The 21,481-nt window shown below is 44.1% G+C and overlaps 1 protein-coding gene across 10 annotated transcripts in view, besides 1 other annotated feature; it reads left to right on the forward strand.

Moving 5' to 3' along the window:
- The window catches only part of ACSM2A (acyl-CoA synthetase medium chain family member 2A), a 36,149-nt gene extending 21,621 nt beyond the window's left edge, over positions 1-14,528 (forward strand). For 6 of the 10 annotated variants that reach the window (NM_001308954.2, XM_017022923.2, XM_047433591.1 and 3 more), the window contains 8 exons: positions 2,221-2,300; positions 2,509-2,632; positions 4,228-4,308; positions 5,435-5,536; positions 7,432-7,559; positions 7,681-7,780; positions 9,917-10,036; positions 13,433-14,528. In NM_001308954.2, the coding sequence (NP_001295883.1) occupies positions 2,221-2,300; positions 2,509-2,632; positions 4,228-4,308; positions 5,435-5,536; positions 7,432-7,559; positions 7,681-7,780; positions 9,917-10,036; positions 13,433-13,537 (840 nt within the window). In that variant the 3' untranslated portion in view covers positions 13,538-14,528. Of the gene's footprint in view, positions 1-2,220; positions 2,322-2,508; positions 2,633-4,227; positions 4,309-5,434; positions 5,538-5,870; positions 6,162-7,431; positions 7,560-7,680; positions 7,964-9,916; positions 10,037-13,432 lie in introns of those variants that run through there. The other 4 variants (XM_017022925.2, XM_017022924.3, XR_001751833.3 and 1 more) reach the window with 4 other exon arrangements.
- Positions 18,740-19,240: an enhancer, noted in NCBI's record as "H3K27ac-H3K4me1 hESC enhancer chr16:20503203-20503703 (GRCh37/hg19 assembly coordinates)". NCBI's record gives its function as "activates a minimal SCP1, AML or CMV promoter by ChIP-STARR-seq in naive H9 embryonic stem cells {active_cell/tissue: H9 hESC(naive)}" and the evidence as "EXISTENCE:reporter gene assay evidence [ECO:0000049][PMID:30033119]".

Here is a 21,481-nt window from a genome sequence, read left to right on the forward strand (position 1 = left end):
AGACATCTATTTGGCTGCAGCAAAGGTTCAAGCTAAGGCATAGATGACATCTTCAAAAGTCAAAAAGTCAGGTGTGATCTGGATTTTCATAGGAAATTATCTTCAAATAATACTGTCATTCTCTGTTTTAAGCAAATTCTTACTCTGTGTCCTTCTCAAAAGGACTTGAACTGGTTTTTATTAAGTTCCACCATTAAAAAAATGAAAACAGACATAAAATTATAAAGCCCATTGGGAAAATTTAGGTTGGAGGTGTAGGGTGGAAAAGACTAAGGAAATTAAGGAGAAATATAGCAAATGAGTATGTAGTTACAAGCTGAGCTTCTAGTAAGGCAAAGCAATAAGGAATATGGGATCATTTTCATAGCTTATATCTGTGTATCAAGCACACTTGAAGGAAATTATTGCATGATACTCACATTTGTCATTTTTTCTAGACCTTTTGCTTAAACCATTGCCATGGTTTGAATATTTGTGCCCCCCAAAACTCATGATGAAACTTGTAAACCAAAAATAAAATCCTAAGGCCCCATCCCGCCAGCCATCTGAATGGACTTCCTCCTTAGCCAGGGTTCTTTTAAAATTTAACCTGAGAGACTGTTTCAGGCCATGATAGGAAGTGGGAGTGGGACATGCCTCATTATACCTCTCTGGTATTAACATCAATACAGACTTTAAGTCTGATTAAAAAAAAAAGATTACAACCTGTTCTGTCTAAAGCCTAGTGCCAGTACCTAAAAGCTTCCTCTGCAAATAAGAACTTGGGTCTCCACAATTATTTATCTTAACTAAGGCATTCCTTTCTATTGATCCCAGGTCTTTAGATAAACTCAACCAATTGTCAACCAGAAAAATTTAAATCTACCTATAAGCTGGAAGCCCCCGCTTCAAGTTGCCCCACCTTTCTGGACCAAACCAATGTATTTTTTAAATGTGTTTGATTGATGTCTTATGTCTCCCTAAAATGTATAAAACCAAGGTGCACCCTGACCAATTTGGGCACGTGTTCTCAGGACATCCTGAGGGCTCTGTCATGGCCATGGTCACTCATGTTTGGCTCAGAATAAATCTCTTCAAATGTTTTACAGAGTTTGGCTCCTTTCATCAACAAACTCAATCCCCAGTGTAACAGTAGTAAGCGGTGGGGCATTTAAGAGATGATTGGGCCTCATGAGGGATTAATGGATTAATGGGTTATCCTGTTAGTGGGTTAGTTTTGGAGAGTGGGTCTGTTATATAAAAAGCCAGTTTTGCTCTACCTCGTGAGCCCCTTTACAATGTGATGCCCCGACCCTCCTTGGGACTCTGCGGAGTCCCCAACAGCAAGAAGGCTCTCACCAGATGCAGCTTCTTGACCTTGGACTTTCCAGCCCCTAGAACTGCAAGAAATAAATTTATTTTCTTCATAAATTACTCAGTCTCCGGTACTCAGTTACAGCAAAAGAAAACAGATTAAGACAATACTCTATTACATTCTGCATAAAGAAAAGCATGGGATGGAGATGGTGTTATACGACAGGAATACATGCTGCAAATAATGATCCCACTACTTGCTGACTAGGTGACCTTGGAGCAGCTACTTAACCTTGTACATCATGGGTTTCCCCTCTGTATCATGAGGATGATAGCACACACTCCGTGAGGTTATTGTAAAAATTAAATGAGATAACACAGGACATGGCAAGTATTCAGTACTAGGTCTTTTTGCAGCACTTGTTTTGAAATGTCTATAGATGTCTTTAGCTTTTCAAAGAACTTTTATATCTAAAATATATTCCAAAAATATTTTCAGGAAAATAAGGCTGGAAACAATCTATTATAAAGCTGGCTACAGAAAGTTAAGGAACTTAACCAAGACAGCTGCTGTGCTCAGGCAGCTGATCTTCCCTTAGTTGCTGGGGGGTGATCTACTCCTAGGGGTGTGTTAACGAGGGCAAGTCTTAAACTGGCAGGAACAGACATCCAGGATTTGACAAAAATGTTTCAAATTAGCCTTAGACTTTTTCACTACAATAATATGTATTCATTTCCCTGTTATTTGTGTCTTCAGGGTGCATGAGAGTTGTGGGGCTCATTTAACCTGAATCAGACATAGTAAACAAGCTAGGGTTTTCATCCAGACCTCTACAACTCCATAGCTCACAATTGTAACCACTGTGCATAGCCATAAGTTGGCATTTGACCTGGTGACCAATGTCTCACCTGGCTCTTGTCTTCCAGACACTCTCCAGTTATCCAATCAAGAGTATGATGGGTGCCCCCATTGTTTACCGGATGTTGCTACAGCAGGATCTTTCCAGGTGATGGGGCTTTGAGGATTGGTAAGAGAGTCTGGCCCCATCCCCCTGACTCCCTCACATACATTCATGCCTATCTATCTGAATCTCTCGCACACAGAGAGCCCCATGAAGCCATTTGCATCATCAAAGCACCCAGAAACCCAGTCTAGGCCTGAGTGGACTTTGGTTCCAGGGAGGCTGAGGGCAAACATTTATTTCTCTTCTTCAGTTACAAGTTCCCCCATCTACAGAACTGCGTCACTGTAGGGGAGTCCCTTCTTCCAGAAACTCTGGAGAACTGGAGGGCCCAGACAGGACTGGACATCCGAGAATCCTATGGCCAGACAGAAACGGTACCTGTTCCCAGGGGAACCATGGGCTGTGTGCACTTTTTGGGCTTCAAAATTCTCTTTGACAATAAAAATTGTTAGCCACCATGTATCATTCATCTATTCGAGAAGTATTTATTGAGCCTCTATGAAGGGACAGGTACTGAGTATTGAAAATTCCGCACAGAACAAAAAAGGCAAAGTTCCTGTTTTCTGGGAGATTACATTCCAGTGAGATTTGGGGAGAGAGAAAATAAACTAAGAAATATCTAGCATGGCAGGTGGTGAGAAATGCGATGGAAAAAGTAAAGTAGATGACATGGGGTGAGAAGTTGGTAAATCAGATATGGTAGTCAGAAAATTCCTCTGTGATGGGGAAACATTTTAGCAGAGACCAAAGTTTATCAAACATGTCAAGCACTGTACAAAGCTACTTAGACTGAAGTGAGGAATGGGAAGAAGAACCCACCATGACTTTACTGCACCTCCTGACATATCTTCTTGGAACTCTTGAGGTCTCATGTGCACAATGTGGATTTATGCTATTCTATACTATTTTACTTATCAAAACTACATGGGGAATACTTTTCCCCAACTCTTCTTCTCCTTTTTCCAGTGCCTCTTACTTGTGACTCTCAGCACTTCTTGCCTCTTCCTCTCCACTCTCTTACCCTGCATCCTTCTTTGGCTAATGAGTACCCTTGGAAGAACTTTTGCAGAAGGTTGACGGCAGCTCTGTGGTATGAAAGAGCCAGGAAGAGCTCTGCAAATATGAATAAGGACAATGGAGTTGTGGCAAGCATACCCTGGCAGGGGCCTCCCACCATTCAGAGGAGGACATGTTTAGGATATGCTTACAAGGACACTCAGGTTCCCATGATCTTAATCACTCAGCAGCCTCTCTTCTGAGGTGGGTGGATAAACTTGCCCTTTCCAGCACAGTGGGTGGCGGGAAAAGATGGGTCATTGTGATATCTTTTGTCCAGGCTAGATCTGAGAAAATGACAATCTATGTCTCTGTCAGTGAGGCATCCACCACTCATTTGTTATTCTGTTGGGAAGGTTCATTTCAGGGTTCAAGCAGAACTGGTGCTGCCATGGGAGATACTTTAAAAAGTATATTTTACTGCTTGAGGAAATGGATACTTCATTCTTCATGATGTGATTATTTCACATTGCATGCCTGTATCAAAACATCTCATATATTCCATAAATAGATACACCTATGTACCCACAAAAATTCAAAATAAAAATAAAAGTAGTATATTTTAGGCCTTACAGATTGCATATTGGTGATCCCATATAGTTTGAAAGGGCTTTGGGTATCCATAGTGTCGTATTAAAATGTGGTTCCCCCTAAAAGAGATTATAATGTGATTGTTAGGTCCTCTTCCTGGGGAGTGGTAGATGGGTTGCTTCCTGAACTAACAATTTAGCGAAGCCCCTAGGATTGTGGTTCCAGTAATGGGGAGAGAGCCAGGGAATGAGGAGCAGGGGGAGCCACCAAGTGCAGGCCAAGTTCAGGACAGTGTCAGGACCTGCTCTGCAGAAATTTTTTCTTTTTCTGTGACCTTGTACCTCCTCCTGAGGTTTGCTGATCTGTCTGCTTCTTTCCACAGGGATTAACTTGCATGGTTTCCAAGACAATGAAAATCAAACCAGGATACATGGGAACGGCTGCTTCCTGTTATGATGTACAGGTTTGCTCGGGACACTGAGGAGGGAGGAAGTTAGGGGAAACACTGATTTTCAGTGATTTATGTTTTCCATTGTTTATTGAGTCAAAAATAATAGAAAGTACTGATATTAAGATAACATAAGAAAAAAAGGAGGTAGGGAGGTTGGGGGAAGGAAAGAGTGAGGGAAGGAAGGAGGAAAAGGGGAAATGATTTATATTCTTACCATCCAGAAGGACCCACTTTGAATAGCTAGCAAATTAGCTAGACAGTACACAAGTATATATGCTTTAAAAACAGAAATGGGGTGAATCTTGACATAATATTTTGTAACTAGCTTTTATCATTTAACAATTTAGGTAAGGATCTTTTCAGTTCAATTAATGCCAACCTGCAGCATGATTTTTAATGATGTAGTAAATAGTATATATCCACTGCTGTTTATGCCTTTTATTGGACCAAGGGATGATGTCCCAGTTTTCACTAGTAAAAATACACTATAATGAATGTGTAGTAGCTAAAGTTTTATTGCTTTCTCTTGTTGTTTTTTGAGAACTAGAATTTGTGTTTGTGTATCTGTGTTATGTGTATAGTTCTGTATATCTAAAGTGTAACTTAGACTCTATTCAGTGTCATATCCAGTTACTTGCCATGCCATTCACTATGATAACCATTTGCTAAGCCCCTTTCTTAGTATCTTATTTCATTCCTATAAAAATCCTGTGAAATAAGCTGTCAGTATCTGTTTTATGGGCGAAAGCACTGAAGCCCAGAGTTTAAGTAGTTCAAAGTCAGCTAGTAAGGTAGCAGAGTAAATTTGAGTTTTGATCTGCCCGATTTCTAAGTCCACAGGTGAGGCAGGTCTCAAAGATAAGAGGAGGCTATTACTTTATCTGAGCTCCTAGAGCCAAAAGCATCTCCCCAGGCTCATCTGGGCCAGTCTCAATAAAAGGATTCACCTAAACTATTCCAGGCAGATAGATCAGAGATCTGAGTTTAAGACTCTTGGGTTCCCCTGGCTTCTGGTTGTTGTTTTCAGTCTCCACTAGAGCAAGAGGGTCTTTCATTTGACCAATTCAGCAATCTCATGATGCCATTGAAGCCATCTCCTGCTGTGTGCATCATTCTTCCAATCTGCTTCTTTCTCCAGATCATAGATGATAAGGGCAACGTCCTGCCCCCCGGCACAGAAGGAGACATTGGCATCAGGGTCAAACCCATCAGGCCTATAGGCATCTTCTCTGGCTATGTGGTGAGAAACTGTGCTCCTCCTCCTCTGTTCCCCAGTGAGGATGGGAGCACTAAACGGGATGAGGGAGGACAAATGTTCTGAAACTTCCAAGAGGCACTAGATGTGGAGACAAAGACTGTCCAGTTTTCAAGAATGTATGCTTTGCCAGTGGAAGAAAAGTGGCTATTCAGCCTTGCCATCCTCAGCCTATCACTGTGATCTCATTGGAAGACTTATTTTTCTTCAGTTAGCCCTTAGACTCCTCAAGAACTCTCTGTTTCATGCCCAAAATATTATTGACCCTGAACTATACACAGCACCATTCCCCCAAGGGCTGCCTTTCCCTCTCCCCTAGGTATCATCCCCATGCTCTATGCCATTGATCTTCTTTAGAGCCATGCCAGGCACTTTACAGTAAGACTTCACCATCTAGTTGGAGGAATCCCTATCTTCAGATCTTGGGAAGGTAAAGACAGATAATCCTTGAATCTGGCCACCTCACTTGACAGGTGAGGATGGTGGAGCCAGAGATTACAAGACTTGCTCAAGCTCACAACCATTAGAAAGTGGACAGAGAAGACCCCAAGGGCATGCCTTCTGATCCCTGAGAGAATTGATTAATAAACTAAATAAACAATAAATCAAATAATAATAGTTTCTACCATTTATTGAATGCATATCATGAGGCAAGCATTGTCCTATAAACACATTTAATCTTTAAACTTTAAACTCATTTAAACTTTAAACTCGTTTAATCCTCCCAGCCACCCTATAAAGTTTTTGGACTCAGTTTGCTCGAGTTCAAAACCCTGCTCTACTATGTATTGCATGATCTTAGGGAAGTTACCTATCTGTCATGTCTCAGTTTCCTCATCTGTAAGTTGTGTGTCGTGAGTGTGTTAAATAAAAGAATTGTTGTAGATCCAAATGATTATTCCTATTATACAGATGAGGAAAACTGAGCCTCAGTGATCAGGGCAGAGCCACACTGTCCCCTTCTCCAAGCATTTCCTTTGTGTGGTCCCACTCTATTCTCAAATGCCAGTGAAGTACTATGTCATGGGCTTCTCCCCATTTGACAGAAAAGGAAACAGACTCAGAAGCGTCTGTGGGGCAGACTCCTAAGGCCACAGAGGCTCCATGATGCCCATGAGAAAGTCAATCCAGTGGCCAAGAAACCTGGCTTCTGGTCTCAGTTCTACCTTCTGTAATGGCTGTTTAGCTTCAGACTAACCTCTTGATGTCTCTGGTCATCAGTATCCCTATATTCCCAATGATAGAGTGAGGCTAAGAATCCTTTATGCCACCATATATAATCCAGTAACTGAACTTCCAGTCTGGAGCCCATGCCCCTATACCTGAGTCAGATAGGAAGATGCACTGACAAGGGATAAACCTCAAGCCTTTTCATTGCTTATAAGCAAGTGCCTCAGCTGAATAGACGGACCCAGCTATTGTAGAAATATGCACATTAGCCAGGGTCCCAGGGGGCTTCCTGGCTAATGTCTCTAGAACTTTCAAATTTAACAAAGAAGCTAAGAAAATTACCTAATCAAAATGATAGCTTTGAGTGGTGCTATGGAGTGAGCAGAGATTAGGATATCTATGAAAGGAGAGATGGAATCAATTGGGGAAAATGCCCTAAGCATGGATGAATGAATACATCAATAATATCTATCAGACTGGACCTAGAGGAGTAGCTGAGAGACCCTGGGTGGAATAACTTCAATAAATGGGAAAGATCCAGTTCTGCCTGTGGCCTAGGGTTGGCTGGTTCAGGGCATGTCTGCCATGTTCAGGTTATACACTGCACACCTGCAGTTTTAATAAGACTCATAGCATTTGTTCATGGCAGCCCCAGGGCAGGGGATTTAGGCTTTGCAGGCACAATGACTCTGTCTTTCTGTGGTCACCAGGACAATCCCGACAAGACAGCAGCCAACATTCGAGGAGACTTTTGGCTCCTTGGAGACCGGGGAATCAAAGATGAAGATGGGTATTTCCAGTTTATGGGACGGGCAAATGATATCATTAACTCCAGCGGGTGAGCTTGGTTTCTGGGTTGGGAAGGGAAATCTGGGTCTTTACTCTGGCTGGTTCCAGACTTCTGGAATGGCCTAGAGGTTCGGTGTCCAGTGTTCTCTGAAGGACAGGTTCTTCTGCAGGTACCGGATTGGACCCTCGGAGGTAGAGAATGCACTGATGGAGCACCCTGCTGTGGTTGAGACGGCTGTGATCAGCAGCCCAGACCCCGTCCGAGGAGAGGTGATGGGGAAGCAGTAGCCTGGGGGTGAACACATATGAACACAAGGGCAGTGTAGTATGATGGTTTAAGAACAGGGACTGTGGGGCTGAACACTCTGAGACCCAATCTTGGCCCTGCCACTTACTAGCTATGTGACCTTGGGCAAGCTACTTGGCCTCTCTGTTTCTCAGTTTCCCCATCTGTAAGATGAGGGATTGTTATGAGGGTTAAATGTGCTAATATTTGTAAAGTACTTAAGTATGGTGATTTCTAAAAAAACTAAACAGAACTACCATACGATCCAGCAATCCCACTACTGGGTATTTATCCAAAGGAAAAGAAATCAGCATATCAAGAAGATGTCCACACTCCCATGGTAATTGCAGCACTATTCACAATACGAAGATATGGGATCAACCTAAGTATCCAGTGGATGAAAGGATAAATAATATGTGGTATATATACACAATGGAATACTATTTGGTGTTAAAAAAGAATGAAATCATGTCATCTGCAGCAACATGGAGAGAACTGGAGGTCATTATGTTAACTGAAGTAAGCCAGGCACAGAAAATAAATATCACGTGTTTGCACTCATGAGTAAGTGCTAAAATAGCTGATCTCATGGAGATAAAGAGTAGAGTGATAGATACCAGAGGCTGGGAAGGGTGTGTGGGTGGGGAAGTGGGGGATGAAGGGAGGTTGGTGAATGGGTAGAAGCATACAGTTAGCAGCAATAAGTTCGAATGTTCAATAGCAGAGTAGGGTGACTATAGTTAACAACCATGTATTGTATATTTCAAAATAGCTAGAAGAGAGGACTTGAAATGTTCTCAACACACACAAATTATAAATACTCAAGGTGATGGACACCCCAAGTATCCTAACTTGATAATTACCATATTTGCGTGTAACAAAATGTCACTTGTACCCAATACATATGTACAAATATTATGAAATGATAAAAACTTTTATAAAGTAAAGTGCTTGGTTGGGAGGCCGAGGCAGATGGATCACGAGGTCAGGAGTCCAAGACCAGCCTGGCCAAGATGGTGAAACCCCATCTCTACTAAAAATACAAAAATTGGCCAGGCATGGTGGCAGGCATCTGTAATCCCAGCTACTCAAGAGGCTGCGGCAGGAGAATCACATGAACCCGGGGGGCGGAGTTTGCAGTGAGCCGAGATCGTGCCCCTGCACTCTAGCCTGGGTGACAGAGTGAGACTCTGTCTCAAAAAAAAAAAAAAAAAAAAAGAAAGAAAAAAAAAGAAAAAAAGAAAGTGAAGTGCTTGGAACAAGGCCTAGCACATAGTAAGTACTATATAATGTCTATTTTGATGAGGCTGGAAGGATTCTATCCTGCTGTTTGGTATTTGAATCAGAGTCTGATTCCCGACCAGAAGAACAGAGGAGGGATTTGAGCCAAAGGACAGAGCCCGTGTGCCACAGAGTTCGCAGTGAAAATAAAGGGAAAAAGAAAGACCCCTATAAAGCCAGGCTTATAGAAATAGGCTCAGATGGGGTCTAGTGGACTTTGATGTGTGTGTAGGAAAATATTAAGGTGGGATGTGTGGATCAGTGTCCTAGCACATTCCCGCAGGGTGTAAGCCTGGCACTATCATACCTCTGGTACGTACAGAATACATCATACAGAAAATTATGGGAACCACTGAGCAGTGAGGCCATGGGGGATCCCCTGCTGAGAAAATCCTGTGTGCCCAGCTCTGAGCTAGCCCTGCTGTATATGATTTCATTTTATTTACCGTAAGTTAAATTTGGCAATTTTATCCCCACTTTACAGATGGGAACACTGAAGTTTGGAGAAGTTAACACATTGTTTAGGGTTATGGTTTTCAGTCTATTTTTCTCTTTTCTCCCCCTGTATCTTCTTTCTCCTTATCTGTCTCTATTGTTATTGGAGTATGAGGTGAGCCTAGTCTCAATCTTTTGTCCACCTGCTCCTCCAATAAATGACTTCAGAGAGAGCTGTAACCTCATTCATGTCCCCAGTTTTCTCCTTTTCCCTTGACCTGGATCACCGGGGGTGCAAATGAGGAGATACAAGGGTGATGGAAGTCTTAATGCCAATTTCACATTATTCCAGGAGATGACTACACACTCTAATCCCTTCTCTCTGGCCTTCATCTTTTTTGCAGGTGGTGAAGGCATTTGTGGTCCTGGCCTCGCAGTTCCTGTCCCATGACCCAGAACAGCTCACCAAGGAGCTGCAGCAGCATGTGAAGTCAGTGACAGCCCCATACAAGTACCCAAGAAAGGTAAGGCCTTTGAGCTCCCAAGTCACTCAAACTTGAGAAATAGATTGTTTTCCTGTTATATTTATCTTCTTCAGGAGGAGGACAGTCCTCTAATTTTAAAAAGTCTTCCTGGCTGGGCGCGGCAGCTCACGCCTGTAATCCCAGCACTTTGGGAGGCTGAGGCGGGTGGATCACCTGAGGTCAGGAGTTCAAGATCAGCCTGGCCAACATGGTGAAACCCCATCTCTACCCAAAATGCAAAAATTAGCCCGGTGTAGTGGCATGTGCCTGTAATCCCAGCTACTCAGGAGGCTGAGGCATGAGAATCACTTGAATCTGGGAGGTGGAGGTTACAGTGAGCCGAGATTGTGCCACTGCACTGCAGCCCAGGTGACAGAGTGAGACTCTGTCTCAAAAAAAAAAAAAAAAAAAAAAAAAAAAAAAAAGTCTTTCTATGATCAAGAAAGCCCAGAAAGACAATCTAGCTTGATGCCTGAAAAATGACCTCAGCTTTTGACTCACTCTGAATTAAAAGCCAAATGCTATCAAGGGAATAAGTTCTAGCCAGTATCTTACCTGTATTCCCATTCTCTGCACTGGGTTCTTGCTATAGTATTCAGGGTTGTGCAACGCTCAGTTGCAAGTGACAGAAATCTAGCTTGACATTTATTGCTCATGCAATTGAAAAGTCCAGGGGTGGGGAAAGCTTTCATTATGGCTAGTCCCAGGCATTCCTAGGATGTGGTCAGGTGTCTCTCTTTCACCCTTTGACTCTCTTTCCTTTGTAGTGGTTTGATTTCTTGGAATGCTTTTTCTTTGTGGCTCTATCAGCTCCAAACATATATTCTCAGCAGCTTAGAAAACTCCAGTAGAAAATGAGCATGTTTTTCTCCAAAGGCCTCAACAAAATTCTCTGGGTTGACTCTCACTGGACCAACTTGGGCCATGTGTCCATTGCTAAATGAATCCCTGTAGCCAGGCCAATGTCACACTGATTAGCCAAGTCATCCTCAGAGAAAGTGCAGGGGGGATGGGGGAGAGAGCTGCCCTACCCCATGACATGGACTGAGAGGGAGGGGTGGCTCCCCACAGGAAAAGGGAAGTGTTCTTACGAGAAAAGACAAAAGCATAGTTTTCAGCTTCTTTCATTCTGGGACAGAGAACTGAGGCACAGAGGTTGACAAGGCAGGAGAACCCAGTTATTGGATTTGGGTCCCAGATAGGAGCTTGTCCCAGAGAAAGAAAAAAAATTGAGTCTAGGGTAGAAGGTGAGAGCAACTATGCTGAGCTTAGAGTCCCTTAGATTCTTATGTAGCCCAGATGCCACCTGCCTTTCCTCAGCACAGGCTAATTGTCATAGGTCTTCTGAGAAGCAGGCCATGGGGAAAGAGGTTACCACGCAAGAGGCTTATTAGGGAGTGTTTTGGAATCAACCCCTGGGGGAAGGGAGAGGAAGGGAAAGAAAGGAGCAGAACTGAGCAGACGGTGAGGTTGCACTGTGACTTAGTCTCAATGGGAACTCCAGCCAATCCCATGGGAGTTCTGGAGCTAGTATAACCTTTCAGTGTTGTCCTAAGGCAAGGTGAGGAAGGGAAGGGGGTCTTTACAGTCACAGGTGGATCAGGTATAGATGTGTAGGCTGCCCTGGGAAGGAGTGTGACCTTGGACAAGACAGCTGTCTCTGGCTGAGGCAATCCTCATATTGGTCTGGCAGTGGGGTGGGACTTCTTTGTCCCTGGAGGAGGATCTCAGCTGCATATCAGAGTCCACCACATGGACTTGCAGCCTCTGAGAATGAGGCAGCATAGCACAGTCTCAGGAATCAGACTGTTGGGTTCAACGTTCACCTCCACCAGTTACTCAATAACCTCTGTGATCCTCAGTTTCCTTATTTGCAAAATGAGAATAATGCTGTTACCCCTTCACAGATTGTTAAGGATGAGTTCATTTAAGAAGGCATCAGACACTTAGAAGAGTGACTGGCACATAATAAACATTTAATAAGTATTTACAAAGGAGTTTAGAAATCCAGGCACACCAAAGATATTACGAATGTTTAAGTATAACTGAATATTGTAGAAGGCTGAGTCAAGGAGTCCTACCACACAGTGTGCAGTGTCTTACTCAAATATCTCAATAGATGTGTCTCTTTCTGCAAGTCTCTCCTCTAGAATTCTCAAGGCAGCGGATTATTTGCACCTTCCCCCTCCTTCCACCAACTACATCCAGTCCTTTCTACTTCTCTCTTCATGACAAGCAGAGTAGCTTCCTTCTTAGCATTAAATCTGGATACCTCCTGTGGCTTTCATCCACTCTCTATCTACCCTTCGGGGCCCAAATAGTAAATATTTTAGGCTATGTGGTCTTTGTTGCAACTACTCAACTTTGCCCATGCAATGCTAAAGGTTGACAGTTTCTAAATGCATGGGTATGAGTGTTTCAATGAAACTTTATTGATAAAAACAGGAAGTGGGCTGTATTTTGCCTGCAGGCCATAGTTTGCTGACCTCTCCTCCATTTCATTGTGTTTTGAACAAACTCTTCTCAACAAAGTCAGTCTTGACTTATAGAAGAATTCTTATATCAGCCACTAAGAAGATACTTTTTCCATCTCAGTATCCCTATTATTAAATTAAAGTTAATAAAGGGTTAATTTTTATTAATTCAAGACCATCTAACACTTAAACCAATGGCATGGCAACTGAGCCATATCACTGGAAGCCTCAATGAGGCATCTTCACCATCCATATCTTTGGATTTGGGAATATAAGAGATAGAGGATCCTCAACTTCAAACATTCCTTTTAACAAGATCAAATAGTGAAATTGGAGAGATTTTATAGTTTTGCTTAGGGTACATTGATAGGAAATGATTGATGTGGAATTCAAAATGAGGTATCCTAATTCTTAGATGTCTAAAGACCTCAGATTAACCCAGATTAATAACCACAGCTAATATTTTTCAGTGGTTACTCCATGCCAGTAACTTAGCCTTCATAATCTCCTTTTGTCCATGTAATCACCCAATGAAGTTACTATTATCCTCCATCTTACTCAGTGGGAAAACTGAGTCTTAGCAAAGCCAAGGACCTGGCTAAAGCCAGATGATTGGTAGAGGAGGAGCTGGGGTCCAGAGAGACTGATGTCAAGGCTCAGCTGGCTGACTGCTGTGCCATGTTGTGTCTGTTATGCTGTTCCTTCTCTGTCTGAGAATATGTCAAAGACCTTTATGCCCAATTCTAGCCATCCTCTTATTGTCCTCATCCCAGAGCACTTTCTGAAGCTTCTTATTGCACAGGGCAGCTGCCCTGAAGTGGCTCCAGCCTGAAGAACTTCCCCTCACCCTACAGCAGTTCTGAAAAATGCAACCCACTGTCGTCACAGATCACCCACCCTGGACTGATTTGTTTTTCAACAGATAGAGTTTGTCTTGAACCTGCCCAAGACTGTCACAGGGAAAATTCAACGAGCCAAGCTTCGAGACAAGGAGTGGAAGATGTCCGGAAAAGCCCGTGCGCAGTGAGACATCTAAGAGACATTCATTTGGATTCCCCTCTTCTTTCTCTTTCTTTTCCCTTTGGGCCCTTGGCCTTCCTATGATTATATGAGATTCTTTATGGAAGAACATGAATATAAGTTTTGTCTTGCCTTGGTTATTAGCACAAAACTTTACCATGTTAGATGTTGAAAGAAGAAAGGGAAGGAATGAGAGAGAGTGAAAAGGAGAGGGTAACAGAAAAAAAGGAAAGAAAAGTAAGTCAGGGAAATATTAAAACTGCAAGGGAAAGCAATTGAAAAAGAAATAAAGTAGGGAAAGAAGGAGAGAGGAAGCAAGGGAAGGAGGAAGAAAGGAAAGAGGAGATGAAAGGGGGAGAAAAGATAGAAGAAAAATAATTGAAGGGAGAATCAGAAAAATAAAGAGCAGAAAGGAAAGAAATAAAGAGAGAAAGAGAAAGAAGAAAGAGCAAAAGAACACAAGAAAGAAAGAGAGGGAGAAAGAGAGGGAGAAAGGGAGAGAAAAAAATTGTAAAAATAAAAATAGTAAAAGAAACTGATAAAGAAAAGTAATGGAAGACAGGAAGAAAAGAAGAGAAGGAAGTAAAGAGGAAAACTTATAAATATTCCCACAGATAGACAAAGTCAAGCATAAAACTGGAGCTTGAGAAGGAAATGAAAGGCCGTGGCACCTTCTTATACCCTAGAAGAAGACCTCCATACAGGAAGACTTGTGTGTGGGGTTGGGACATTAGAATCATCCACAAGTCACCCCAAACCTTGGAACTGTCAGGGTCAGAGGGGAACCACCATTTATTAAGCATTTGCCATGTGCCAGGCACTAACCCAGATGCATTATAAATACCACGTTGTTTCACCTGTGTGTGGCATCTACAGACCTTAGATCATAGCTGTGAGAACAACGTAAGCACTGCCAAAGTTATCAGCTACCCATATCTCATGTTTTTGATGTTATCTACTCTTCCTAGAATCAAATATTAAAATAATTTTAAAACCAAGATCCTGACAATAGTCTTTGGGAAAAACAAAGAAAGGCAGGGATGAGGTAAGTGTACGCTTCCAAAAGCTTGTGAGTTGGGGAATCCATGAAGAGAGACTGGGGAGGTGGTTTTGTTGAAAGAACAACCAGCACCTCAATTCCTGGGGCTTCTGGGACACCAGATCTATGGTCCAGGAGATGGAGAGAGGTGAGCACTATGAGGATTTCACCTACAACCCAGAGATGGAGGATGAATGTTCCTAGCAATTTCAAGTAAGTAGGAGAAGAAAGCAAAGGTTCTCTGAGAGCCCATGACTCTTCTTAAGAAGACTTAGTAATAATAACAACAATAGTAATAATAATATTGATCATTCATCAAGCACTTGCCAAGAGTCAGGTGCTGAGCAACTGACAAAGCAAACGCCCATATTAATCCTACTTAAGGTTCACAATTACCCTTTGGTTCAGGCACTATTATTTTTTCCATTTTCCAAAGGAGCAAATTAAGACTCAGAGATATTAAATGACAGAGCCGGGTTCTAACACAGGCCAAGCTGCATGCAACACCTATGCTTTCAGTTTCTATACTCCATCAATTTGCTTGTCTTGGCTTCTGGACCTTCACAAAGCCACTCTCTCAGTCTGTACTTGTTAGGGTCCTCCAGAGAAATAGAACCAATATATACATATATGTACTCCGCAACTTAGGATGGGGTTACATCCCGATAAATGTATCACAATGTCAAAAAAATTGTAAGTTGAACCATTATAAGTCAAGAATCCTCTGTACACACACACACACACACACACATACAGAGAATGAGAGAGAGAGCGAGAGAGAGACAGAGAGAGAGAGAGAGAGAGAGAGAGATTGGCTCAAAGAATTATGTAGTTTGAGAATTCCCAAGATCTACAGCTTGGAAGCTGAAGACCCAGGAAAGCCAATGTGTATATCCAGTCTTAGTCTGAAGACCTGAGAACCAGAAGAACCAATGGTGTAAGTCCCAGTCTGAGGGCAGCAGAAGACCAATGTTCCAGCTCAAGAAGTCAGGCAGGAGGATTTCCCTTTTACTCAGCCTTTCTGTTCTACCTAGGTCTCTAATTGCTTGGATGAGCACCCCACCCCCACACTAGGGAGGGCAATATTCTTTATACAGTCTGATTCAAATATTAATCTCATCCAGAAATATAGACATACCCAGAATAATGTTTGGCCAAAAGTCTGAGATCCCCGTGGCCCAGTCAACTTGACACATAAAGTTAACCATCACACAGTCGTCTTACAAAATATACACTGGAAGGCAGATATACTGTGATATGCTCCCCCTATAGTTCACTGAAATACAGCAGATATTTGTTGCCCATAGCAGAGAAATGCAATCTGCTAATCAAATACAAAACTTTGTTTTTCTCAATCTGAATTTATCAGTGTTTGAGGGAGTCTCATTTAACTGAAAGCTTCCAAGAATTTAAAATGAGGCAGATTGCTCATTCTGACACTTGGATTCATGTTTAGTTTTCTCTGTCCACTGCATGCTTGCATAGGCAGCAAGAGGTCTCACCATCACTCTTCATGCTGGATGATGATCTGCTGATAAGGCCTCACATTTCATCCCCATTTTCCCAGTGTCAATAGCCCCTCAATCTCCCAACCTTAAGAGATGTGAAAAAGAATTATACTTTATAGATGCCTCTGTGGACAGCAAGGAAGAAAGGGGTATACCCAGCTGGGAGATCTTGGTGCTGCCTTAGAAACACCTGATGTGGCTTCATGAGGTGACTTCTGTTTTGGAGGTGAAGTGGAAGACAGCAGCAGTGGAAAATGATGATGGGTAGAGATATGTAGGGCCAATGAGTTGGAGACATTTTAGAGTATGCCATAACTGAGAAACTATGGATATAGAGGGAAACTAACCAATTTTTAAAGGAAGATTTCCAATTAAAATCAGTGTGAACACCCAACCCATTACCATGTTGTCTAAATAAACTTCACTGGTTTCTGTTTTAGCAAACATTATTGAGTTTTGAGGATTTGAACTCTAGTTTCTACGACTGCCAAATTATGCAAAGACTAGACTACATAGGCTCCTAGTATTTATTGGGATTATACATTGGTGAGCATATCATGTGAGGATCACATAAAGGTGTCGTTAGTAAGAATGGAAACTTCTAAGTAAGCAAGTGAGATTTGGGAGTAAATCCTGGCCCATCGTCTGTCATAAATGTTGTCTTAAATAAGCTTCATTAAGTTGCAAGATGTATAAACCTATTCAGACTAGCAAAAAGTATTCTATTTCAAGGACCCGTGGATAATTTCACAGGATTGAGGAATATGGCAATCAACCAGCTCTCATAAGGGCATAACCAGCTACTTGTTAGAAAACCAAAAAAAAAAAAAAAAAAAGCAAAAACAAACAAACAAAAAACCATCAGGAGCCCAGGAAGCCACTCTATCCAGCTCCGTGGGAACAGATTACAATGTATCTATCTCTTTTTCCCCTTCAACTATGTGTATCCTTTTTTTTCCTTGTAAGTATTGAGACTAATGTCATAAAGTGGCTTCTCCCACCCTCTGGCTTCATCACCCTCCAGCTTCAGTGCCACTACCTAAATTCCAGAGAGAATGAATCTGATTGATCCAGCTCATGTGAGTTGCCCACATGTACTCTGATTATCACAGAGTACAAATATGGCTACAGGGGCCCAATTTCTTTGGACTGGGAAAAACTTTCAGAGAAAAGGGACAAAGGGTGGCATGAGACACCTCCTAATTTGACTACCCATTTAGACACAAACTAGCAAGTTTTTGCAAAGATTGAGCCTACCTTCCAACATTCCTCAATGCCTCTTTCCTCCTTCTTGCTAAAAGCCTTTCTCTCCATATATAGACCTTCTGCCCATTCAGTCTCATTGAAATCTTGATAAAGGCTGAGACTTCACCTGATTGTTCCCAGGACCCTGTCTAATGAGAGCCCAGTTGCTGGAGAAAATATCTGTCTAGTCAGGCTCTCTCTCACTGTGAAAGGCACTGAGAGGATTTAATTCGTAGAGTGATTAGAATCTGATTTCCTAGATACTAATTATCTGCGTGCCATGCCCCTTGAAGGAGGTTTCCTGCTAACTCTGGCTGTCTTTCCTTTTAACCTATGGCCTGCTATTTTTATCTGTACTGAGAATATATTTTTGATCACATCTCCTTACTCACCACCCAATCCATGAGTTCATTAACTTCTCCAGGCTCAGGGATGATTGATGATGGAAACACATCACTTTTAAAGGAAAGCTATACCCTACCCACAGTATAAAATCTGCCTCCCTTCCCTCCTCACCCCCAACTTTAATCTCCTTCTGCCTATGACTTTGACAAAGCAATCGTAATATTCAACCTGTATCTTTCACAAAGACTGGTTTGCTATGACTACTATGAAATCACCAACTCGCCTTTCTCAGGATGAGGCAAAGCTAGACCACTTTATCCTTTCTGCTCATTTTCTGGTCTTTACTTCCAAACAATATCTTTTGAGTCGCTCTGAAAACATAGACTCATCCACACCTACATACACACATATATCCACCTATTCTGATCACACAGTGCTGTACAACAAGTTACACTAAAATATGGCAGTTTAAAATAACCACTTCTTTATGTTCACAAATTCTGTGGGTAAAGAATATGGAAGGGGAATAGTGGAAATGGTTTCATTCTGCTCCAAGGTCTAGGGCCCCTGCTGGGAGGACTTGAAACCTGTGGTGACTTGATGGCCTAAGGCAGTGCCTTTCCCTCAAATTCATATGTTGAAGCCCTGACCTCCAGTGTGATGAAATTTGGGGATGGGACCTTTGGAAGGTGGGATAGAATGAGGTCATGAGGCTAGGTCCCTCATGATGGCATTGTGGCTTTATAAGAAGGAGAGAGAGAAAGAGATGATCCTCTCTTCACCATGTGACTGATGGCAGCGGCAGGCGGTCTGGGGCGGTTGCTGCTGCTACTACTGCACCGGCTGCAGTGGGGAGGTGCCAGCAGTGGTGGCAGGGGCAGCTGCGGGAGCAGCCGTGGCAGCAGGGGGACCCTTGTACCTCATGTCTCCTGTGCCGCGTCCCCAAGGCAGCCGACTGCACTGCCCTCACCCTTGCATGGCTGGGCAAGACCCACCCTAGGCCTGGAGCCTACACAGCTCCGGACCCTGGCCCCGTGTCGCCTTTCTCGCCTTTTGCCACTGCAGGGAGGCTGTGCGGAGGAGGCAGACAGTCCCCGAGCGGACCCTTTGGAGCTCCCCAGAGCCCGTCGCCCTGGGGGCTGCTGCAATGGGTCCGAGTCGAGTTGGAGGGGAAGCAGAGAACTCGGGCAGAGAGGGGCCCCAAGGTGGAGCTGCGACCGGGGCGGTGCCACGCTTGCACATGGGGCCTGGGCGCTGGGCCAGGGGCCTAGGGCTGGGGTCGTGGTTCAGGGGCCCAGGGCAGGAAATGGGAGTGGTGCCGGCTTCGGGGACTCAGCCAGCAGTGCGGCTGCCCCGCCCACCCCACCGAGGGCCCTAGGTTCCTGAACCTAGGGAGGAGGCTGTAAGTGGGGCCACCAGGGGCAGTGTCCCTGGGGTCAACTGTGCATCAGGGGGACCGCCAAGCCTGACACTCCCAACGGCCAGGCCTGGGAACCAGCGATCCACTCCCAGAGGCGTCCCCGCAGGCAGGGCCACTTAAGGGGGAACCACGGGCAATCCCTGAGCACTGGGGCCACTGGAGGGGCTCACGGCGACATTACCCCTGCCCTGGACACCAGCCCAGGCCCAGCAAGAACCTGGAGCCCCGGCCCAGGCTGCGAGGAGGCGCGACCCAGGCTAGACGATCCACAGAGCTGGTGGAAGCCAGGGACAAGCAGGAACCCTGTCCCTTCTGAGTTGGTGGGGTGGGAGCCACCTCCCCATCTCGTGCAACTGCAGCTGACCTGCCGGGGCTTCTGAGCCAGAAGTCTCTTCACTCCGCACCCTCGGGGGCCTGGGAAGATCTCCCTTCCTCCACAGGCTTGGGGGTGTCTGCCCTCGTTGCCTGGCCTCTCCCGGGCCTGGGAAGATCTCCCTTCCTCCACAGGCTTGGGGGTGTCTGCCCTCGTTGCCTGGCCTCTCCCCATCCCAGTGCCCACAAAGTTGGGGCTGAGCCTGGGCACTGTTTTCGCACGCTTGGGGCAGCACTGACACTCCAGTCCCCTACCACCTCAGCACCCTGTGGCCTTTGGGCCCCAACGAACTTGGTGGGGGGAAGGCCGAGACTAGGGCTGAGGGCAGCTTGCCACTGGTCTGCAGGTGCCCCTTGGTGCTAGCCAAGGTGCCCATTTGAGCCTGGCGCCCATGCCAGCACCTGGAGCTGTCCGCCCTGCTGCAGCAGGGGCACAAAAGATTCCTGCCAGAATAGCAACACCCCCAAGATCTTGTAACATTTGGGGGGCTTGTCTGGAATCCGCAGAAGGGTGAGTAAAAATGGATCTGTTCTTTCCATCCTTTCTTGGAGTCCCTAAATGCCACAATAATGAAGATGAAAGAAAAATACTGGGTCTCAGTCAGTTAAAAGTGCCTAGTGTGGCTGCCAGACTTACAACACGGAGGACAGGCTTGCTGGGGAGGATGCTGTCAATCCCCCATCATCCTCAGATGTTGGGAATGTTGGCTTTGTTCCAATCCAGTTTCCCTTCATGGCGGTCTAGCCCTCAGGTGGGACCGGAAGGAGGTCCTGGGTCAACTGAGGGTATCTGGCCGAGGCTACACCTGTGTTATCCAAAGGCCCATGGACCTGGTCCCTGACCACCTGTTAAGGTGTCCAGTCTTTTCTATTGTTTTTTCTTTCATGATTGTCATAGTTCGTATCTCTTCTTTATGTACAATGTTAAATGTTAAGCATGTTGCAAACCACAGAGATAATATTACTGGGTAGAATGAGCATTTGGCTTAGTGGTCAAACGTATAAAATTGAAGGCTAAGATTAGCACAGATGAAACAAAATGTGCCTTAGTATCTGTACGTAAATTTGTGGCAGAAATGTTCTTGTCATTTCCTTCATTGCCAACTTAGTGCCAAGCACCCGAGACACAGAAAAGAAGTATGGCCTCACGAGGGAAGCATTAATTTCAATACCATCCTACAGCTGGTCCTTTTCTGTAAACACAGGGACAAATGTTCTGAGGTCCCATATATGCAGGCCTTCTTTGCTTTGCAGGATAATCTGGACCTTGGCCAACATTGTAGTATTGATTCAACTCTCCTAGTGGCCACCTTGGGAGAGGCTGGAAGGGTCAATCCCAGGGAACTAGGAAAGCAAACCTCAGAGGTACCTCCCACAGGGGAATCAATTCCCTTTGCTCCTCCCTATCTGGGTTGTCTCTCAATCTTGACTTAGCCTAGAAATTTTGGTTTTAGGCAAGATCCAATCTCAACTGTCCCCATAACACATGCCTGGTGAATATGGCCCCATTAAGTTCCAGGTCCCCTTTTCTTTTCAGGACTTAGGGCAAATTAAAAGGGATCTTGACAAGTATTCAGAAGGCCCTGACAGGTATATAGAGACTTTCCAAGTATTTGAACTCTTCTGGAAGGATGTCATATTACTTTTAAATCAAACCCTGACTACCGTTGAAAAGCAGGCCACCCTGCAAGCAGCAGGCAATTTGGGGGATGAGCTTTCTATCTCATATTGGGCCAGGGAAGGGAATGAGTCTTATCTGATTGGAAGAATAGCAATATCATTGGAGGACTCTAAATGGGACCCCAATGATGAAATAGGAGAGTGGAAGAGGAAACATTTTCAGATGTGGATACTGGAGAGCTTATGAAGGACTAGGACTAAGCCTCTCAATTACACCAAGCTATCCGTGGTGGATATCCAGGGATTAGATGAGAATCCCACTGCCATCATGGGAAGGCTAAGAAGGGGCTTGGTAAAATACACCTCTCTATCTCCCAATTTAGTAGAGGGACAGCTGGTCCC

The sequence above is a fragment of the Homo sapiens genome, chromosome 16 (genome assembly GCF_000001405.40).
Source record: "Homo sapiens chromosome 16, GRCh38.p14 Primary Assembly".
Classification (NCBI taxonomy): domain Eukaryota; kingdom Metazoa; phylum Chordata; class Mammalia; order Primates; family Hominidae; genus Homo; species Homo sapiens.